Source organism: Homo sapiens, chromosome 15, assembly GCF_000001405.40.
Source record: "Homo sapiens chromosome 15, GRCh38.p14 Primary Assembly".
Lineage (NCBI taxonomy): Eukaryota > Metazoa > Chordata > Mammalia > Primates > Hominidae > Homo > Homo sapiens.
In genome coordinates, this window is record NC_000015.10 from 25097645 (window position 1) to 25115915 (window position 18271).

General features: G+C 38.3%; 1 long non-coding RNA gene and 6 other non-coding genes across 7 annotated transcripts in view; all 7 read left to right on the forward strand.

Annotated features, from left to right (window-relative positions):
- Nucleotides 1-18271, forward strand: part of SNHG14 (small nucleolar RNA host gene 14) — a 595855-nt gene that overhangs the window by 274037 nt on the left and 303547 nt on the right. The window contains exons 49-59 of the long non-coding RNA NR_146177.1: nucleotides 1073-1184; nucleotides 1501-1634; nucleotides 6215-6326; nucleotides 8520-8650; nucleotides 9828-9944; nucleotides 10266-10394; nucleotides 11354-11455; nucleotides 11554-11759; nucleotides 11911-12071; nucleotides 14121-14250; nucleotides 17655-18012. This is a non-coding gene — a long non-coding RNA (small nucleolar RNA host gene 14). The remainder of the gene's footprint in view (nucleotides 1-1072; nucleotides 1185-1500; nucleotides 1635-6214; nucleotides 6327-8519; nucleotides 8651-9827; nucleotides 9945-10265; nucleotides 10395-11353; nucleotides 11456-11553; nucleotides 11760-11910; nucleotides 12072-14120; nucleotides 14251-17654; nucleotides 18013-18271) is intronic.
- On the forward strand, nucleotides 18-111 carry SNORD116-25 (small nucleolar RNA, C/D box 116-25). The gene has a single exon (NR_003339.2). It is a non-coding gene; the product is annotated as a small nucleolar RNA, C/D box 116-25 (small nucleolar RNA).
- On the forward strand, nucleotides 1854-1951 carry SNORD116-26 (small nucleolar RNA, C/D box 116-26). Its single transcript, NR_003340.2, has one exon. It is a non-coding gene; the product is annotated as a small nucleolar RNA, C/D box 116-26 (small nucleolar RNA).
- Nucleotides 3930-4023, forward strand: SNORD116-27 (small nucleolar RNA, C/D box 116-27). The gene has a single exon (NR_003341.2). It is a non-coding gene; the product is annotated as a small nucleolar RNA, C/D box 116-27 (small nucleolar RNA).
- On the forward strand, nucleotides 6997-7089 carry SNORD116-28 (small nucleolar RNA, C/D box 116-28). The gene has a single exon (NR_003361.1). It is a non-coding gene; the product is annotated as a small nucleolar RNA, C/D box 116-28 (small nucleolar RNA).
- On the forward strand, nucleotides 8876-8960 carry SNORD116-29 (small nucleolar RNA, C/D box 116-29). The gene has a single exon (NR_003360.1). It is a non-coding gene; the product is annotated as a small nucleolar RNA, C/D box 116-29 (small nucleolar RNA).
- Nucleotides 10624-10708, forward strand: SNORD116-30 (small nucleolar RNA, C/D box 116-30). Its single transcript, NR_047032.1, has one exon. It is a non-coding gene; the product is annotated as a small nucleolar RNA, C/D box 116-30 (small nucleolar RNA).

The window sequence follows — 18271 nt, forward strand, 5'->3', positions numbered from 1 at the left end:
CCTTTTATAAATGTGCCTGGATCGATGATGACTTTAAAATGGATCTCATCGGAATCTGAACAAAATGAGTGACCAAATCACTTCTGTGCCACTTCTGTGAGCTGAGGTCCAGCACAGGGGCCATGCCAGACAAACACATGGAGGGTGTTTTGTTTGGTCAGCACTGGTACTATGAAACGGCCTGTGGAATTAGACAACTAACCAGCTCACATACAGTACAGGAAATTACTGGACAGTTAACCTACCAATATATGGTTGGGGGTAAGACGGAGACTTTTCAAATGCTTGGCTGGTAGCATCTGTACACTACAGTGACCAGACACTGGGAGCCAGCACAGGAGTTATAGGATTTACAGGAAATTATTGTGTGAACCCACAAGCCATTCAGACATTTGTGTGAGCGCCCAGAATATTCTGGTTGATGGTTTGTTGCTTGATGGCAAAGAGATGTCAGCATTCAAAGACATCATGAGTTTTTACTTCTCCTTTTCTTTTAAGTGAAATAATTGCATGGAAATTAAAGAATAAATATCTTATATGAAATATATGAAACATATGAAATATAAGATATTTATTTATATCATATAAGATATAAATATCTCATATGAAATCTTGTAGTATATTTTCATTTGATTGCCAACCCAGTCACTAGGACTGAAACAGTTGTTTATTTTTTGTTTTCCCATCAACCAAGCAAGCTATTTAATACATGTTTCAGTGCTGGTTTCAACTACATGTTGCAGCAAACATTTTTAGAAGTGATATTTCAAATTCTTGGATTTTCACATGGATTTCATTGTCTACTTTCATATGTCCTCCATGTGTGACCACTGTATTAATTAAAAGTTGTAATAAATGATTTTGAAAGGTATGTGCTGGAGGAACTTCGGGACAAATGTTTTAGAAAACATTATTTCCATAAAATTTGGATCAAAGATGTGAGCATAATTGTTCTTGTTATACAGATGGTCCAATGAGTGTCTAATGTGAATTCTTATAACTGTTTATAACAAAGTAGTCCATGAAGCAAATTTTGTTTCACAACTTTCCTAATTTCCCCTGTACTCTGTAGATTGGGTGAGATAGAATTCCATGGAATTTCATTGCCAAACCAGTGAAGTGCTAATTTTGACATTTGTACCAGCTAACGTAGCTGTGAAGAAACACACCAATACACTTCTAAGGTAACATTCAATTTTTAGTGAATTTATTTTTGTGAGTTATTTTTATTCTTTTAAGTAATCAAGAATTTATGTTCACAAGGAATTGGTTAATACTAACAGTTTCAGACATTAATGTTCTGATGAGCTGAGGCATCAATCTCCTTTTGATAAAGGTTTTGTTCTTTTCTCTACTTTGAATAACATATGAAATGTCCAACAGCAGTTCTAAGTTAGTGTATATTCCATATATGTTAATAGTGAAACATCCTGTCTTATGCAAGGCTAAAAATTGTCCGTGTATACTTCTCAGATTTGTATACATACTCTCTTCCTACAGGACAGCATAGACCAAGATCTAGGTTTCATATGGATGAATTTATTCTTCCCTTTGAGGCAAGACAAGAAGGAAAGAAAGTATTGGGAATAATGCTGCCCTCCCATCCTCAAGGGCCAGTGGGAACTCTAATATTGGTAAGCCTTTTGTCCTGAAAATACCAGCATTTCCTCTTAGGGAATCATAACACTCTGCTAACCGTGAGACTCTGGCTATGCTAGTCCGCCATGGGCTGGTCATTGACTGTGATCCTGGTCTCCATGATTGAATAGTGTGGGTCAGTGTGTCCCAGAGTGACAGATGTGCTCAGTGTCTGCCACATATCTCAGACTCAAGGTCCCTTTTATAAATGTGCCTGGATCGATGATGACTATAAAAAAAATGGATCTCATCGGAATCTGAACAAAATGAGTGACCAAATCATTTCTGTGCCACTTCTGTGAGCTGAGGTCCAGCACTGGGACCATGCCAGGCAAACATGAGGAGGGAGTTTACAGGGACTAGGGTATTGGAAAACTAACCTACCCATATATATTAGAGCAAATGAATTGTTCTCAGTTCTGTAAATATCCAGCTGTGGTTTGACATAGCAACTCTCTTTGTATTTGCTTGGCAGCATTTATAGAAACAGCTGGTAGACCCTGGGGAACCAGGGCATAGTGAGATTCATGGGACGTTATTTCACCTACTCTTGAGCCATTCACACATTTGAGCTCGCAGAATTATCTGGTCAATGAGCAGTCTCTTGAGGGTAATGAGATGGTCAACATCCAAATCCAAAGATACTAATGAGATTTTACTTTTTTTTTTGAGATGGAGTCTCATTCTGTTGCCCAGGCTGGAGTGCAGTGGCATAATCTCGGCTCACTGCAACCTCCACCTCCTGGGTTCAAGAGATTCTCCCGCCCCAGCATCCTGAGTAGCTGGGATTACAGGCGCCCGCCACCACCCCTGGCTAATTTTTGTGTTTGTAGTAGAGATGGAGTTTCACCATATTGGCCAAGCTGGTCTCGAACTCCCAACCTCAGGTGATCCAGCCACTGCAGCCTCTCAAAGTGTTGGGATTACAGGCATGAGCCGCCGTGCCCGGCCTTACTTTTTATTTTCAATTAAGTGAAACAATTACATGGAAATTGAAAAAAAAAAAAGGTACTCTAAGTAGACTACTCTAGTGTATTTTAATTTTCTTGCCAATTCAGCCACTAGGATTGTGTCACTTGTTTTTTTGATTTTAGTTTTTCGTATCAAAAAGCAAACCACTGTTTATATTTGAGTGCTGGTTTCAACTGTATGCTGCCTCAAATAAACTTAGATTATATTACAAATTCTTTTTTACATAGATTTCATTGGCTATATTCATATATCCTCAAAGGTTTCCATTGTGTTTGAAGAGGTATCCTAATTGTAATAAATGCTTTTGATTGGGGATGCCAGGGAAGCTTTGAGACTAATGTCTCAGATTTTTTTTAAAAAAGTTTATATTCTATAGTGATCAAAGATGTAAGAATAATTTTTCTTGTCATTCATTGGATAGTCCAGTGAGTGTCTACTGTGAATTCTTATATTCACTTGTAACTAAACATTCCATTTGGCAAATTTCGTTTCATAACTTCCCTAATTTCCTCTACACTTTGTAGATTGGGTGAGATACAATTCCATGGAATTTTACCACTGAACCAGTGGAGGGCTAATTTTGTCATTTGTACCAGTTAACTAACTTGGGAGGAAACAGAACAACACACTCCTGAGGTAGTATCCAATTTTTAGTAAATTTATTTTTATTATTTTTCAAACTGTCAGTGATTTGGTTTGGTGAACAATAGGTTAATACAGACAATGTTAGGAATTATTAATCTGATGCGCTATCTGAAGCATCAGTTTCCTTTATTTTTAAGATTTTTTTCTTCTCTGTAGTTTGGATAATATTTAAAACATTTCCAAGAGTTATAAATTAGTATATTTTCTATGCTGATTAATAATGAAACCTTTTGTCTTATACAGATTTTTAAAAAATGGACGTGTGCGTGCATGTGTATATATATAAATATATATATATATAAAATCTCTTCTCACAAGATGATGCAGACTAAAACTGCATTTTACATTTTATATGGCTAAGTTTATTGTTTCCTTGTGTTGTAATATGATGGAAAGTAATGGGAATAATTCTGCTTCCTGTCCTTAGGGACCAGTAGGAATTTTCCCATGATAAGCATTTTGTCCTTAAAATACTGACATCCTGTTAAGAGATCATGACACTCCAATGACCATGAGACCCTGGCTATGCTAGTCAGCCAGGGGGCTGACCATTGACAGTGATGCTGGTCTCCATGATTAAATAGTGTGGGTCAGCATGTCCCAGGGTGACAGAAAGCTGTGTGATCAGTGTCTGTCACATATCTCAGACTCAGGGTTCCTTTTTAAAATGTGCCTGGATCGATGATGACTTAAAGATTTATCTAATTTAAATCTGAACAAAATGAGTGACCAAAACACTTCTGTACCACTTCTGTGAGCTGAGGTCCAGCACAGAGACCACTCCAGTCAAACATGTGTTGCCTGGAGTTGCAACTAGTTGGTCAGTTAGAAGCAACCACAGGGACTGGGGTATTTGAAAACCACTTGAGTGCATTTATTAGAGGAAACGAATTTTACATTTGTGTATAAAAATTCAATTGTAGGGTAAAATGGAAACTCTGAGAGTTTGGTTGGCGGCATCTATATACCATAGAAACAGAGCCTGGGAAGCAGAACAGTGAGACCCAAGAGAAATGTTCCTGCCTATACTTGGTCTGTTCTCACATTTGCCTGAGCTACTGATTGATCTTTTGAGGGTGATGAGATGGTCAAAATCCAAGGATATGATGAGTTTTTACTTCTCATTTTCTTTTTTTTTTTATTATACTTTAAGTTTTGGGGTACATATGCAGAACGTGCAGGTTTGTTACATTGGTATACACGTGCCATGGTGGTTTGCTGCACCCATCAACCCATCATCTACATTAGGTATTTCTCCTAATGCTATCCCTCCCCTAGCCCCTGACCCCCCAACAGGCCCTGGTGTGTGATGTTCCCTCCCTGTGTCCATGTGTTCTCATTGTTCACCTCCCACTTATGAGTGAGAACATGTGGTGTTTGGTTTTCTGTTCTTGTGTTAGTTTGCTGAAAATGATGGTTTCCAGTTTCGTTCATGTCCCTGCAAAGGACATGAACTCATGCTTTTTTATGGCTGCATAGTATTCCATGGTGTACATGTGCCACATTTTCTTTATCCAGTCTATCATTGATGGACATTTGGGTTGGTTCCAAGTCTTTGCTATTGTGAATAGTGCCGTAATAAACATATGTGTGCATGTGTCTTTATAGTAGCATGATTTATAATCCTTTAGATATATACCCAGTAATGGGATTGCTGAATCAAATGGTATTTCCAGTTCTAGATCCTAGAGGAATTGCCACACTGTCTTCCACAACGGTTGAACTAATTTACACTCCCACCAACAGTGTAAAAGTGTTCCTATTTCTCCACATCCTCTCCAGCATTTGTTGTTTCCTGACTTTTTTTAATGATCGCCATTCTAACTGGCATGAGATGGTATCTCATTGTGGTTTTGATACACATTTCTGTAATGACCAGTGATGATGAGCCTTTTTTCATGTTTGTTGGCTGCATAAATGTCTTCTTTTGTTTTACTTCTCATTTTCTTAAAGTGAAACAATTTCATGTGGTATCTTCCAAGTATATTTTAATCAGTTGCCAACCCAGCTGCTAAGATTGAACTGTTTCTTTTGTTCTTCTCTTGTTTTTTTCTATTAATTTAGCAAACAATTTTATATATAGTTTGCTATCCTTCTCCATGGGGCCTGCATCTTCAGATTCAACTAGCCATGGATTGAAAATACTTGACAAAAAATTGTATGGTTTCATCTGTACTGAACATGTACAGTCTTTTTCTCTCTTTTTCTCTTTCTTTCTTTTTTTTTTTTTTGAGACAGAGTTTCACTCTGTCACCCAGGCTGGAGTGCAGTGGCACGATCTCAGCTCACTACAACCTCTGTCCCCCGGGTTCAAGTGATTCTCCTACCTCAGCCTCCTGAATAGCTAGGATTACAGGCGCCCACCACTGTGCCAGGCTAATTTTTGTGTTTTTAGTAGAGATGGGGTTTCACCATGTTGGCCGGGCTGGTCTCGAACTCCTGACCTTAAGTGATCTGCCTGCATCAGCCTCCCAAAGTGCTGGGATTACAAGCATGAGCCACCATGCCCAGCCAAGTACAGACTTTTTCTTTGGTTATTATTCCCTAAAACAGTACAGTATAACAACTATTTACGCAGCATTTACATTGTATTCAGCATCATGAGTAATCTAGAAATGATTTCCTGCATATAGGAGGATGTACATAGGTTCTATGCCAATAGTGCACAGTGCTCGCTGTGTTTAAAGAAATATCCTAGGTATAGAATAAATAATTTTGAAGTCAGTGTGTTGAGAAAACACTGACATGGATAGAAAATATTCTGTCTAGAATAGAAAAAACAATAGAATAGAAAAAGTTCTATCTGTATCAGTCTGATCAAAGATGTGAGCATAATTATTCTTGTCATACATATAGTCTAATGAATGTCTAAAGTGAATTCTTATAACTGCTTGTAACAAAATATTTCATTTGGCAAATGTTATTTCACAACTTTCCTAATTGCCCATGTACTTTGTAGATTGGTTTTCACAGAATTCCATGGACTTTAACTGCTGAACCAATGATGCACTGATTTTGTCACTTGTACCAGCTAACGCATCTGGGAGGCAACAAAACAATACTCTCCTGAGGTAACATCGAATTTTTAGTAAATTCATTTTTGTGTGTTGTTTTTATTATTTTTTTAAGTAATTGAGAATTTCATTAGGTGTGCAAGGAGTCACTTAATACAAATAGTATTAGGCATTCAATACTCTCATGAGATATCTGAGCCTTCAGTTTCTTTTATTTTAACATTTTACATTTTTCTCAACTTTAACATCAGAAACATCCTATAAGTGTAATAAAATTCTTATACTTTACATATAGTTACATAGTAAATCCTCCTGTCTTATTTAAGTTTGAAAAATGAACATGTATACTTCTCATTCCCATGTATATAATCTCTTCCCACAGAATGAGGTGGACCAAGAAACTGGGCTTCATACGGATGAATTTATTTTTTTCCCTGTGTGGAGACATAAAGGAAAAGTATAGTGAATAATTCCGCCTCCCACCCACAAGTCCCCATGGGAATTCTCACATGTTAAAAAGCATTTTGTCCTGAAAATAACAACAATTTTTCTTAGGGAATCAGGACACTCCAATGACAGTGAGACTCTGGCTATGCCAGGCAGCCATGGGCTGGTCATTGTGCTGCTGGTCTCCATGATTGAATAGTGTGGGTCATTGGTGACAGATAGCTATGTGCTCAGTGTCTGCCACATATCTCAGGTTCAAAGTCCCTTTTATAAATGTGCCTGGATGGATGACGACTTAAAAATGAATCTCGTTGGAATCTGAGCAAAACGAGTGAGCAAACCACTTCTGTGCAGTTCTGTGAACTGAGGTCAAGCACAGGGACCATGCCAGGCAAACACGTGCAGAGAGTTCAGTTTGGTCAGCAACTGGTACCAAAATGGCCTGTGGTATTGGAAAACAAACCCACTCACATAGCTTACAGCACATGAATTGTACAGAGGTCTGTATGTGTTTGTATATATTTATATATGTTTGTGTACATATATCTTTGGGGATTATATGGCATTTCTTTCAGTGTTTGGCTGGCAGTGTCCATACTCTCATAGTAAACAGAATTACACAAGAGTAGAGGGAACAGTAGGAAATGGTTTTGCCTACCCTAGAGTCTTTTATACATGTTTTTAGGTGCTATAATCTTGTGTGTGAGGTCAGTCTCTCAGGTTCATTAGATGGACAGTGTAAAAGGTATTATGAGGTTTTACATATTATTTATCTATTAAGTAAAAGAAATATATGGAAATTGAAGAGTAGCTTTTATCTATTAAAGAAAAGAATGTATGGAAATTGAAGGGTACTTTCTATTTGTGGAAAGTCTTAACATTTTAATTTCCTTATTGATCTTGTCACAGAAGTTGGAATTTAAGTTTTGCCTGTCACTCAAAGAGAAGCTTTTTAGACATTTGATTAAGGGATTCTAGTAGATGCTATAGTAAACATTTCTAATTGTAAAATGATTAAATTTGCAATTCATAGAGTTTTATGTGGATTTCATTGCCTGATATTCATTATTTTTATTAGTGGGTTTCATAGATGTTTAAAGGGAGATCCTAGTTTTATTGTGTGATACTAAGGGAGGCCTTTTGGTCTTAGAAAACTGACTTTCAGTACTACCCATTTCCAGGGAGTGAGCATAATTTTTATTCTCATACCACATGGGCAAGTGAATATCTATGGTTTATTTCTTATAACTCGTCATTAGTAATTATGAAAGTAAGAAAGTTGACAAATGAAACTCTTTTAATTATGAGGGTTTCATTTGTCGACTTCCTACTTCCTCAGTGTGCTTTGTGTATTGGAGGTAATACTGGAATTGCATGGAATTCCTACTGCTGCTCCAGTAACCTGCTGATTTTGTCACGTGTACCAGATTCGTTGTCTGGCAATGAGAACAATACACTTCAGAGGTAATATTGCAATTTTTAGTAAGTGCATTTTTCCTGGGTTCGTTCTATTATTTTATTTTAGCAAGTAAGATTATAATTGGTTTTTCAAGCAGTCTGTTAATCCAAATGGTGTGAGGCCCTAATAATCTGGTTAGTCATCTGAAGTTTCTGTGTTCTTTGTACAGTATTTTTATACTTCCTCTGTTTTCAAATAACATTAGGATACCCTACTAGCAAAATAATTTAGTATATTTTATATACTTGTGCATAGTAAGCCTGTTGTATATGTACACTATTTGCATGGTTGGCAAATTACATTTGCACTTTTTATTTTTCTATAATTTTTTCCTATTTTCAAAGGTTAATGTGGACCAAAAACTAGATTTCATATAAAAGAGTTTATTCCTTCTACTTGAGGTGTGACATGAAGGAAAGTAATGGAAATAATTCTGCCCTCCCATTCTCAAGGGCCAGGGGGAATTCAAATATTGGTAAGCATTTTGTCTTGAAAGCACCAACATTCTTCTTAGGGGGTCATGACACTCCAATGACAATGAGACCCTGGCTGTGCTTGTCAGTCATGAGACTGGTCACTGGCTGTGATGCTGGTCTTTGTAATTGAATACTGTGGGTTGGCAAGTCCCCAGGTGACAGAAAGATCAGTGTTCAGTGTCTGCCACATATCTCAGGCTTAAGGTCCCTTTTATAAGTGTGCCTGGATCGATGATGACTTAAAAAAATGGAAACCTTGGAAATCTGAACAAAATGAGTGACCAAGACACTTCTGTGAGCTGAGGTCCAGCACAGGGACCATACCAGGCAAACCCGTGGAGGGCGTTCAGTTTGGTCAGGAACTGGTACCAAAACGAACCCACTTGCATATGTTAGAGCAGATGAATTGTACAGAGGCCTATATATCTTCGGGAATTACATGACAATGATTTAAGTGCATGGCTGACAGCCTTCAAACACCTAGTAATCAGGCTTTGGGGTACCAGCGTCAGAGGAGTGAACACTGTAGAAATGGCTGTGCCAGCACTCGAGTCATTCACACTATTTTCGTAGACGCCACAACATTCTTAGTGAGTATCAGCATGTATAGGTATATTATGTAGTCAATTAGAAAGAAATTATCAGTCTTTGCTTGCTATTTATTCTTTCACTAAAAGAAATATGTGAAAATTGAAGAGTGGGTTGTATTCATGGGATTATCTTATTACATGCTGGAATTTGCTTCCTAACTCAGTCTCAAGGATTAGAACAGCATTTGTTTTTCTTTTTCCTGTCACTCAGGGAGCAATTTTCTAAGCATTAGATGATAGATTAAATTAGATGCTTCATTAAACATTTTAATGTGAAATAATGAAATTTCTAATTCTAGGGATTTTAGATGGATATTGTTGGCTAATAGGAATATTCCTTCATTGAGTCTTTGTATATTTTAAGAGAGATTCTAATTTTAGTAATACTCGGGGCCTTTGGCCTTCGAGACCAAAATCTTGGAAACATTGATTTTCTGTACTTACCCTGTTCCAAGCAACAAGCAGATTTTTTAGTTATGTGGATAGTCAAGTGACTATGGCTAATTAATTACAAACTGTTGTCAGGAATCATTCAGTTGGGAAGGTTTTGTTTCAAAACTCCTGTAATGTCCCCTGTGCCTTGCAGAACGGAAGTGATTTTGGAATTGCATGGAATTCTCACTGCCATCCCAAAGAAATGCTGATCTTGTCACTCTTACCTGTTTCATTCCCTGGGGGCAGAACAAAAGGACGCACTCCAAAGGTAACATCCAAGTTTGAATAAATTTACTTTTTATGGCTTATTTTGTAATTTTTTCTGTAGTCAAGTAGATAATCAGTTTTGTGAATGATCTGTTAATAACAGTATGAGACATTAATTATCTGGTGAATCATCCAAGGCTTTCATTATCCTTTATTTCCAATTTTTTTTGCGTTCTCCTTTTCAGTAATATCAAAAACATCCTAGTAGAGTTATGTTAGTATATTTGATATTAATATACATAACAAACGCTCCCTTCTTGTGCATGTTTGACAAATGGACATATATACTTACCATCTTCCCATATTTGTACTGTTTTCACAGATCGGCATGAACCAAGAACTGGGTTTCATATAAAATATTTTATTCTGTCCTCTTGAGATGTGACATGAGAAAAGTATTGAGAATACTTCTATCACCTCATCTTCAAGAATCCGTAGGAATTCTCCCATGGTAAGCATTTTGTCCTGAAAATACTGGCATTCCTCTTAGGAGATCGTGACACTCCAATGACCATGAGACCCTGGCCATGCTAGTCAGCCATTGGCCAGTCATTGACTGTGATGCCAGTCTCCATAATTGAATGAATAGTGTGGGTCAGTGTACCCCAAGCTGATGGAAAGCTGTGTGCTCAGTGTCTGTCACATATCCCAGGCTTAAGGTACCTTTTATAAATGTACCTGGATTGACGATGACTTTAAAAAAAAAAAATCTCATTGAAATCTGAAAAAAATGAGTGACCAAACCACTTCTGTGAGCTGAGGTCCAGCACACATGATAGGCAAACGTGGAGGGATGTGGATGGTCAGTGCCCACAGGGACTGGGGTATTTGAAAGCTAATCTGCCTGCGTATGTTAGAGGAAATGAATTGGACAGTCATCTATAAATATCGTATTTTTTAATAAAATGGCTATTCCTTTGGTGCTTGGCTGGTAGCATCCATCCACTGGTAGTAAATAGACCCTGGAAAACCAGCACATATGTAGTGAGACCCCATGAGACATGATTGTGCCTACCTTTGAGCCATCCATAAGTTATCTGGGACATGACAGTCTTTTGAGTGAGAGCAGTTTACTAAGGTCATTTAGATCATCAGTTCCAAAGATGGTGTGGATCTTATCGATTATTTTTTTAGGCAGAGGTAATATCTGGAAAATTAAGAGTGATTTCTAACCATGAGAATATTTTAGTTTGTTTAAATTTGCTTGCTAACCCAGTACCAAGAATTCAGACCTTTTTTCTGTCTGTATAAAGCAATATTCTAGACATTTGAGTGATTCAAGTAGATGTTGTGAGATGATTACATTTCCAGTCCTTGGAATGTTATGTGGATTTTATTGGCTAATCTTCATATTTCATCAGTGGATTTTCCTATGCATGTTAAGGGAGATCCTTGTTAATTGATGTCTAGGTGGACTTTACGGTTAACCTGAACAGGTCTTGGAAAAAGGACTTTAAACATTCTCCTGTTCTGTGGAATAAGTATACTTTTTTCTGGACATACACCTTGTCAGTGAGTATGTATCATAATTCCTCATAACTTCTTATCAGGAAACATTCGATGTAGAAGATTTCTTTCTCAACTTCTCTAATTGCCCCTGTGGTTTGCAGGTTCCATGTGATACTAGAGTTGCATAGATTTTTAACCTTTACGCCAATGAAGATCTGAGGCAAACATTGCCCCTTTTTTAGAAGTTTGCATTTGTCACTGATAACTGTAATAATTGATCTTGTTGAAAAGCCTGGGAAATGAAGATCTGATATGTCACTTTTACCGGCTTCCTCAACTGAAAAAGAATACAATGAAACACGCTGAGGTAACATCTAATTTTTGATATCTTTTTTCCTGGGTTATTACTGTTTTAAGTATTTAGGAATTTAATGGGTGCTATATGGAGTCAGTTAATTCAGATACTATAAGACCTTAATCTGGTGAGTCATCTGAGGCTTCTGTTTGTTCTTTTCCAGAATTTTTGTGCTTTCTCAGTCTTGCTGATGATCTTTCTATGGGCCTGAAGCGTGGAGAGTGCCAGAGAGGCTGATCCTCAGCAGTGTGGCAGAGGAAAGTTGGGTGCGACTAAGGGGTATGCGGTGCCCACATGCCACTGGGTCCTCAGCAGTACCACCTGGTGAGCGTCACTCTTGAGAGCTGAGAGTAGGTGGGAAGCAGCTCATGGTGAGAGGGTTCAGAGGCCGCCTTTCCCTCTCTGCGCACTGCCCAGTTCTTCTAGTCACATGTCCCGGGACAGTACCATACCTGTGTGTGTCCTGCCTGCATTGCTGTGACCACTTTTAGTGGAATCAGGTGCAGTGCAGCTCTGCAGCTTCTGCAAATTGCCACGCTCCCACTCTCAAGCAGGTTGAGTGCTACGAGTGATTTTTAGACCATTTGTTTATTCCCTTATCATGGCTTTTTGTGACTTCTTCCTCCCCAGTCCGTTGGGTCACCTTTAAAGGTAAAGTAATCCTGAGGTGGTTGAATTTACGGAAATGCTATGCATTATTGTGAATGGGATGTTCACCGGGCCAACATCTTCTTGGAACTTTGAGCAAACTGATAGTCTGGTTGCACATTTGATTTGTCTGGCAGTAAATGTTGGACAGTATTTGGACTGATGGAAGCTAGAGACAAACACATTGACTATTGTTGAATAACACTGGAAACATCTTAGGAGAGCAGTACATTAGCTAATTTAATAGGTACATAAACTGAATCCCACTGTCTTGTGCTTGACGGACCAGCAGACACATATGCTTGTATCGTTCTCATGTTTCTACATGTTTACCCTATTCCCACAGGTCAACAAAGACAAGGCACCTAGCCCCACATGAAACTTTATTCCTTTCCCTTTTGAGATGTGACATGAAAGAAAATAACAGAAATGATTTTTCCATCCCATCCTCAGGGACCAGTGGGAATGAATTTTACCATCCCACCCTCAAGGGCCAGGTCAGGTCGCTAAGCATTTTGTCACTAAAATATTGCCCTTTTTTAGGGATTATGTAATACTCTATAAGGCACTGTCTGTGCTGGGCAGCATGGAGCCTGGGTCATTGCTGTGTTGGGGGCTTGGTCTCCATGACTTAATAGGGTGTATCAGTGTGTCCCAGAGAAGTGTACTCCAGAGTGCTCATTTTCTTTCATGTTTCTGAAGCAAACAGTGCCCCCTTTTTTAGAAGTTTGCATGTGTCACTGATAACTTTAATAATTGATCTTGTTGAAAAACCTGGGAAAACAGTGAGTTAAATAATAACTTCTCTGAACATGAGGTCCAGCCCAATTACCTGCCCTAAGCAAACTATATGGAAGGAGAGTTCAGTTTGTTCAGCTATGTGGTCCCAGCAAGGACTGTGGTACTGGAAAACTAACCAGCTTACATGCACTAGAGAAGTAGAATTGGACAGTGATCTGTAGGTACCCAGTTTGGAGATGAAATTGCAACTCTGAGTTCTTGATTGGCAACATAAATACGTTGATAGTAAACAGACCCTGGGGAATCAGCACTTGAGTTGTGAAAAGCGGGAAATAGCTATGCCTACACTAGAGCCATTCACACTTTTGCTGGAGCTGCAATAATCTTCTAAGTCATGCTTGCTCTCGTGAGGGCAATGAGATGGTCACAATCCAAGGAGAGTTGGGGTTTTCACTTTTCATTTCTCTATTAAGTGAAAAAAGTATATGAAAATTGAAAAATAGATATTACTTATGTAATCTTCACAGTATAATTTGCTTGCCAAGCAGTCACTGGGATTTAATCAGTTTCTTTGTCTTTCGTTTTTCTCATAAGCTGAGAGAGTAATTTTGTGTGCACAGAAGTACTGTCTTCAGCTACATGCTGCATTAAACATTCCTAGATGTGAAATGATTAAATTTCCAAGTTTTTAAAATGTGGATTTTTCTGGCCACTTTTATATCTCTTCAATGGGTTTCTAATGGATTTAAGGAGAGAGCCTAGTCATGATGAATGGTGTTGTGTTGGGTATGCTGAGGAAACTTTGAGACCAATGTTTCAGAAAAAATTATTTCTATACTGTCATGTTTCAAGTACCGAGTATTGTTCTTGTCATACAGATGGTCCAGTGAACATCTCTGGTGAATTCCTTACAACCAACCTCTTGTTACTAAATATTCCATTAGGAATGTTTTGTTTCTCAACTCCCTGATTTCCCCTTTATAGATTGGAAGTGATATTGGTGGAAGACAACATTTTGCCGCTTGGAATTCTCACCTCCACACCAAAGAAGTACTGTTTTTGTCATTTGCACCAGCTTCTTTCTCCAGGAAAGATCAAAACGATGCACTGCAAGGTTAACATCCAATTTTTAATACATGTAATTCCCTGGATTATTTTTGTTGTGTTATTAAATAACTTAGAATTTTTTTTACAAAGTCTGTTGAACCAAACACTGTAAGGCATTAATAACCTGGTGAGTTATTTGAGGCCTTTTTTCCTCTCCTAGAATTTTTGCACAATTTATATTTTGAATAATATCAGAGACATCCTAGTAGAGTAATGAATTAGTACATTTTATATGCAGATACATAGTGAAGCCTCCTTTCTTATGCATATTTGACAAATGGACATGTATATTTCTCATCTTCCCATATTTTTACTCCATTTCCACAGGTCATGTAGACCAAAATGTGAATGTCATATGAAAGAGTTTAAACATTGCCCTTGAAATATGACAGAAAGTATCAGAAATAATTATACCATTCCATGCTCACAGGCCAGTGGGAATTCTCACAGTAAGCATTTTGTCCAGAGAATATTCTTCTTAGGGAACTATAACATTCCAATGATAATGGTAGTCAGCCATGTGGCTGGATCATCGTTCCTGTATCCTGGTCTCTATGACTTAGTGTGGTGATGGTGTCATTGTGTCCAAGTGTGACAGAATTGTTAGTGTGTAGTGTCTGTCTCCTATCTCAGGCTCACAGTCCCTTTTATAAACATGCCTGGATTGATGATGGCTTCAGTATCTTTTGGAAATCTGGACTGAGCAATAGAATTGCTTCTCTCAAATTGATTTCAAGTCATATAAAAGGCCATGTTACACATATATTGTTAATCTGAGGGAGGCTGTGATCATTTAAGTTGTATTTTATAAACACTAGGACCACCAGTAAGAAAACAATTCAAAAAATATTAAAAGAACAACCAAAGAATTAAAATAGAATAACCGAAAAGATCTGTTTAACACAAAAGAAGGCAGTTAAAGATGAACAGAGGAACCAATAAGACATATAGAAAACAGATAGGAAAATGACAGACATAAACCCAGCCATATGACAATTATATTAAATTTTTAAGAGATTAGGAAATTCCGTTGTTTTTTAAACATGAGCAACTATACGCTGTCTACAGAAGAGACACTTTAGAACAAAAGATACAAATAGTTGGAAAGTAAAAAGATGGAAAAAGCTATATCCAGCGAATCCAGAAGAGAGCAGAAGTGGCTATTCTGACATCAGAAAAAAGAGACTTTAAGATAAAGTATTGCTAGAGAGGAAGAAGGATAGTATTTAATGATAGAAGGGTTAATATGGAATATGTAACAATTACAATCATATCAGCACTAACAACAGTGCCCAAAACTACATACACTGAAATTTAACATGATTGAGGGGATCAATAGGCAATTCAACAATAAAAGCTTTTGTTCATACCCTCTTCTTAATCAGTGATAAGTCAATTAGATAGAGCATCATTGAGGTTACAACATACTTCAGCAATGTTGTCAACCAATTTGACCTGAGATAGATAGATAGACAGTTAGACAGACAGACAGACAGACAGAGAAAACTTCACCCAACAACAGAAATACAAATTATTTTCAAGCATACCTGGAACATTCTCCAGGATAGAGTATATGTTAGGCTATAAAACTGTACTCAATAAATTTAAGATTGAAACCATGTAGAGTATGTTGTGTGACCATAGAGGAATTAGAAATCAACACAGAAATAAATTTGGAGGTCACAAGATATTTGGAAATTAACACACTTTACAGAGCCCATTGGTCAAAAATATATATATTAAACTAGAAAGGCCGGGGGTGGTTGCTTACACCTGTAATTCCAGCACTTTGGGAGGCGTAGGTGGGCACATCACTTGAGGCCAGGAGTTCAAGACCAACCTGGGCAACATGGCAAAACCCCATCTCTACAAAAAAATACAAAAAATGAGTTGAGCATGGTGGTGCATGCCTGTAGTCCCAGCTACTCAGGAGGCTGAGGTAGGGGAATCACCTGAGCCCAGCAGGTAGAAGCTGCATTGAACCAAGATTGCACCACTGCATACCAGCCTGGGCGACAAAGTGAGACCCTGTCTAAAAAATAAAAGGAATCCAGAAAACATCTTGCATAGAATTTGATACAACTAAAGACATGCTTAGAGGGATATTTATAGTTTTAAATAACTGTATCAGAAAAAAAGGGAAGATAAATAAATGACATAAGCTTCCACCTTAAGAAACAAGAAAAAGACTAAACTAGAAGATGAAATCCAAAGCAAGCAGAAAGAAGTAAACAATAGGGATTGGAGCAAAAATTGATGACATAAAAAACCAGACAAAATACAGAGAAAAATCCATGAAACCAAAAGTTGGGTTTGTGCAGAGATTTGTGAAATTTACAATCCTTTAGCTAGACTGACACAGATCATTAGAATTAGGAATGATGGAGACAACATCACTACTGACCCTATAGATTGGATCAGGAATGTCGCTGTTTGCTGCATTGTGCTTTCTTGAGGGGAGAGCTATGAAGGAAAACAAAGTTCTCATTGCACTTACAACTCAACAACACAGCGTTGACATTTTGATTCTCACTGGCTTCAGTGCTCATCTCTGTGAGGTTTCCAGAAGATCCCGTAGCAATATCACTCATTCTAAATTTATCTTTGGGCTACTCTGGGAACGCTGTCTATGGGTTAGCCCTGCTCTGCAAGGAGCAGTAAGAAAATATATATATATTTTTTGAGGCTGAGTCTCGCTCTATCGCCCAGACGGGAGTGCAGTGGCACGATGTTGGCTCACTGCAACCTCCACCTCCAGGGTTCAAGCGATTCTCCTGCCTCAGCCTCCCAAGTAGCTGGGATTACAGGCACGTGCCACCACACACCGCTAATTTTTGTGTTTTTGTAGAGACAGGGTTTCACCATGTGGGCCAGGCTGGTCTCAAACTCCCAACCTCAGGTGATCTGCCCTCCTTGGCCTCCCAAAGTGCAGGGATTACAGGCATGATCCACTGTGCCTGGCAAGTATGTTTGTAGCCAGTGGGGAATTATTTTAACTAGGCAATAATTTGATCTATTTTGGGAAGCCTCTTGTAATCAAATCATATATCAACATTAATCACATGGTGAGTCCTCCATGGTTTTCATTCCTAGAGATTCTAGGATGTTTGACATTTCTCTGCTTAGCTTATAGCAGAAAGGTATTGGATATCAAGAATGTTTGAACAGTTTCTCCTTTTTGGGAATGAAGATGAAATTGGGCTAGAATGAGATGTGTGATTGAGAGAATGTCCCTGAGGCCTGAGCAGTGTGTCCTTTTGGGTATGGGCATTGGAAGCATGTAGTGAATTCTTATAATTTTATGTTGCCTCGGCATCCATCTTGAGTATAAGTTTAACTTTGTTATACCAGAAGCAAGGCTTACTCACTTTTGCACAGTTTCCAGTTCTACACCTCCTTCTCGTTCCTCAGTGTGATTGGTCCAGATAGCTGCCTTATCCAACTGCCTCCTTTGGACCACTTCATCATGGGACAGCTTGATGCAATCTACTTGACAAGACCCTGGAACCCCACACCCCTCATGGAACCAGTGTCCACCTCCCAGTCACAGTGTGACCCCAGGGAACTCTTGCCTGCTTGCTTTAAACCCACCACTTAAAAGTCTCCACAGAAAACCTGTTTGAATAGTACCCTTGACCCAATAAGGGCATTGGCCCCTGGGTGTCTCTCTCTCTCTCTCTCTCTCTCTCTCCCTCTCTCTCCCTCTCTCTCTCTCGCTCCCTGACCTCTGCGTGTGGACTCCAGGCATGCCATATACCCCTCAGGACCTGTAAGTAATACTATCTTTATTTTTATTTTATATCTCTCCTAATCATTGAAAAGGTGCTCTCTATCTTGAAGATACTATATTAAATAAAATGAGAACTTGTCCCTAACACAGTTAGTGATAGGCTGAAACACGCTGATTGCACTCTTTACCCATTTAGTGATTTTTCTCAAGTTACTCTACACCATGTATTATCAACATAATTGATATTACAGAATAGAATTATAAGACACTTCTTTTGCCACAGAAAGTTCTATTGGAC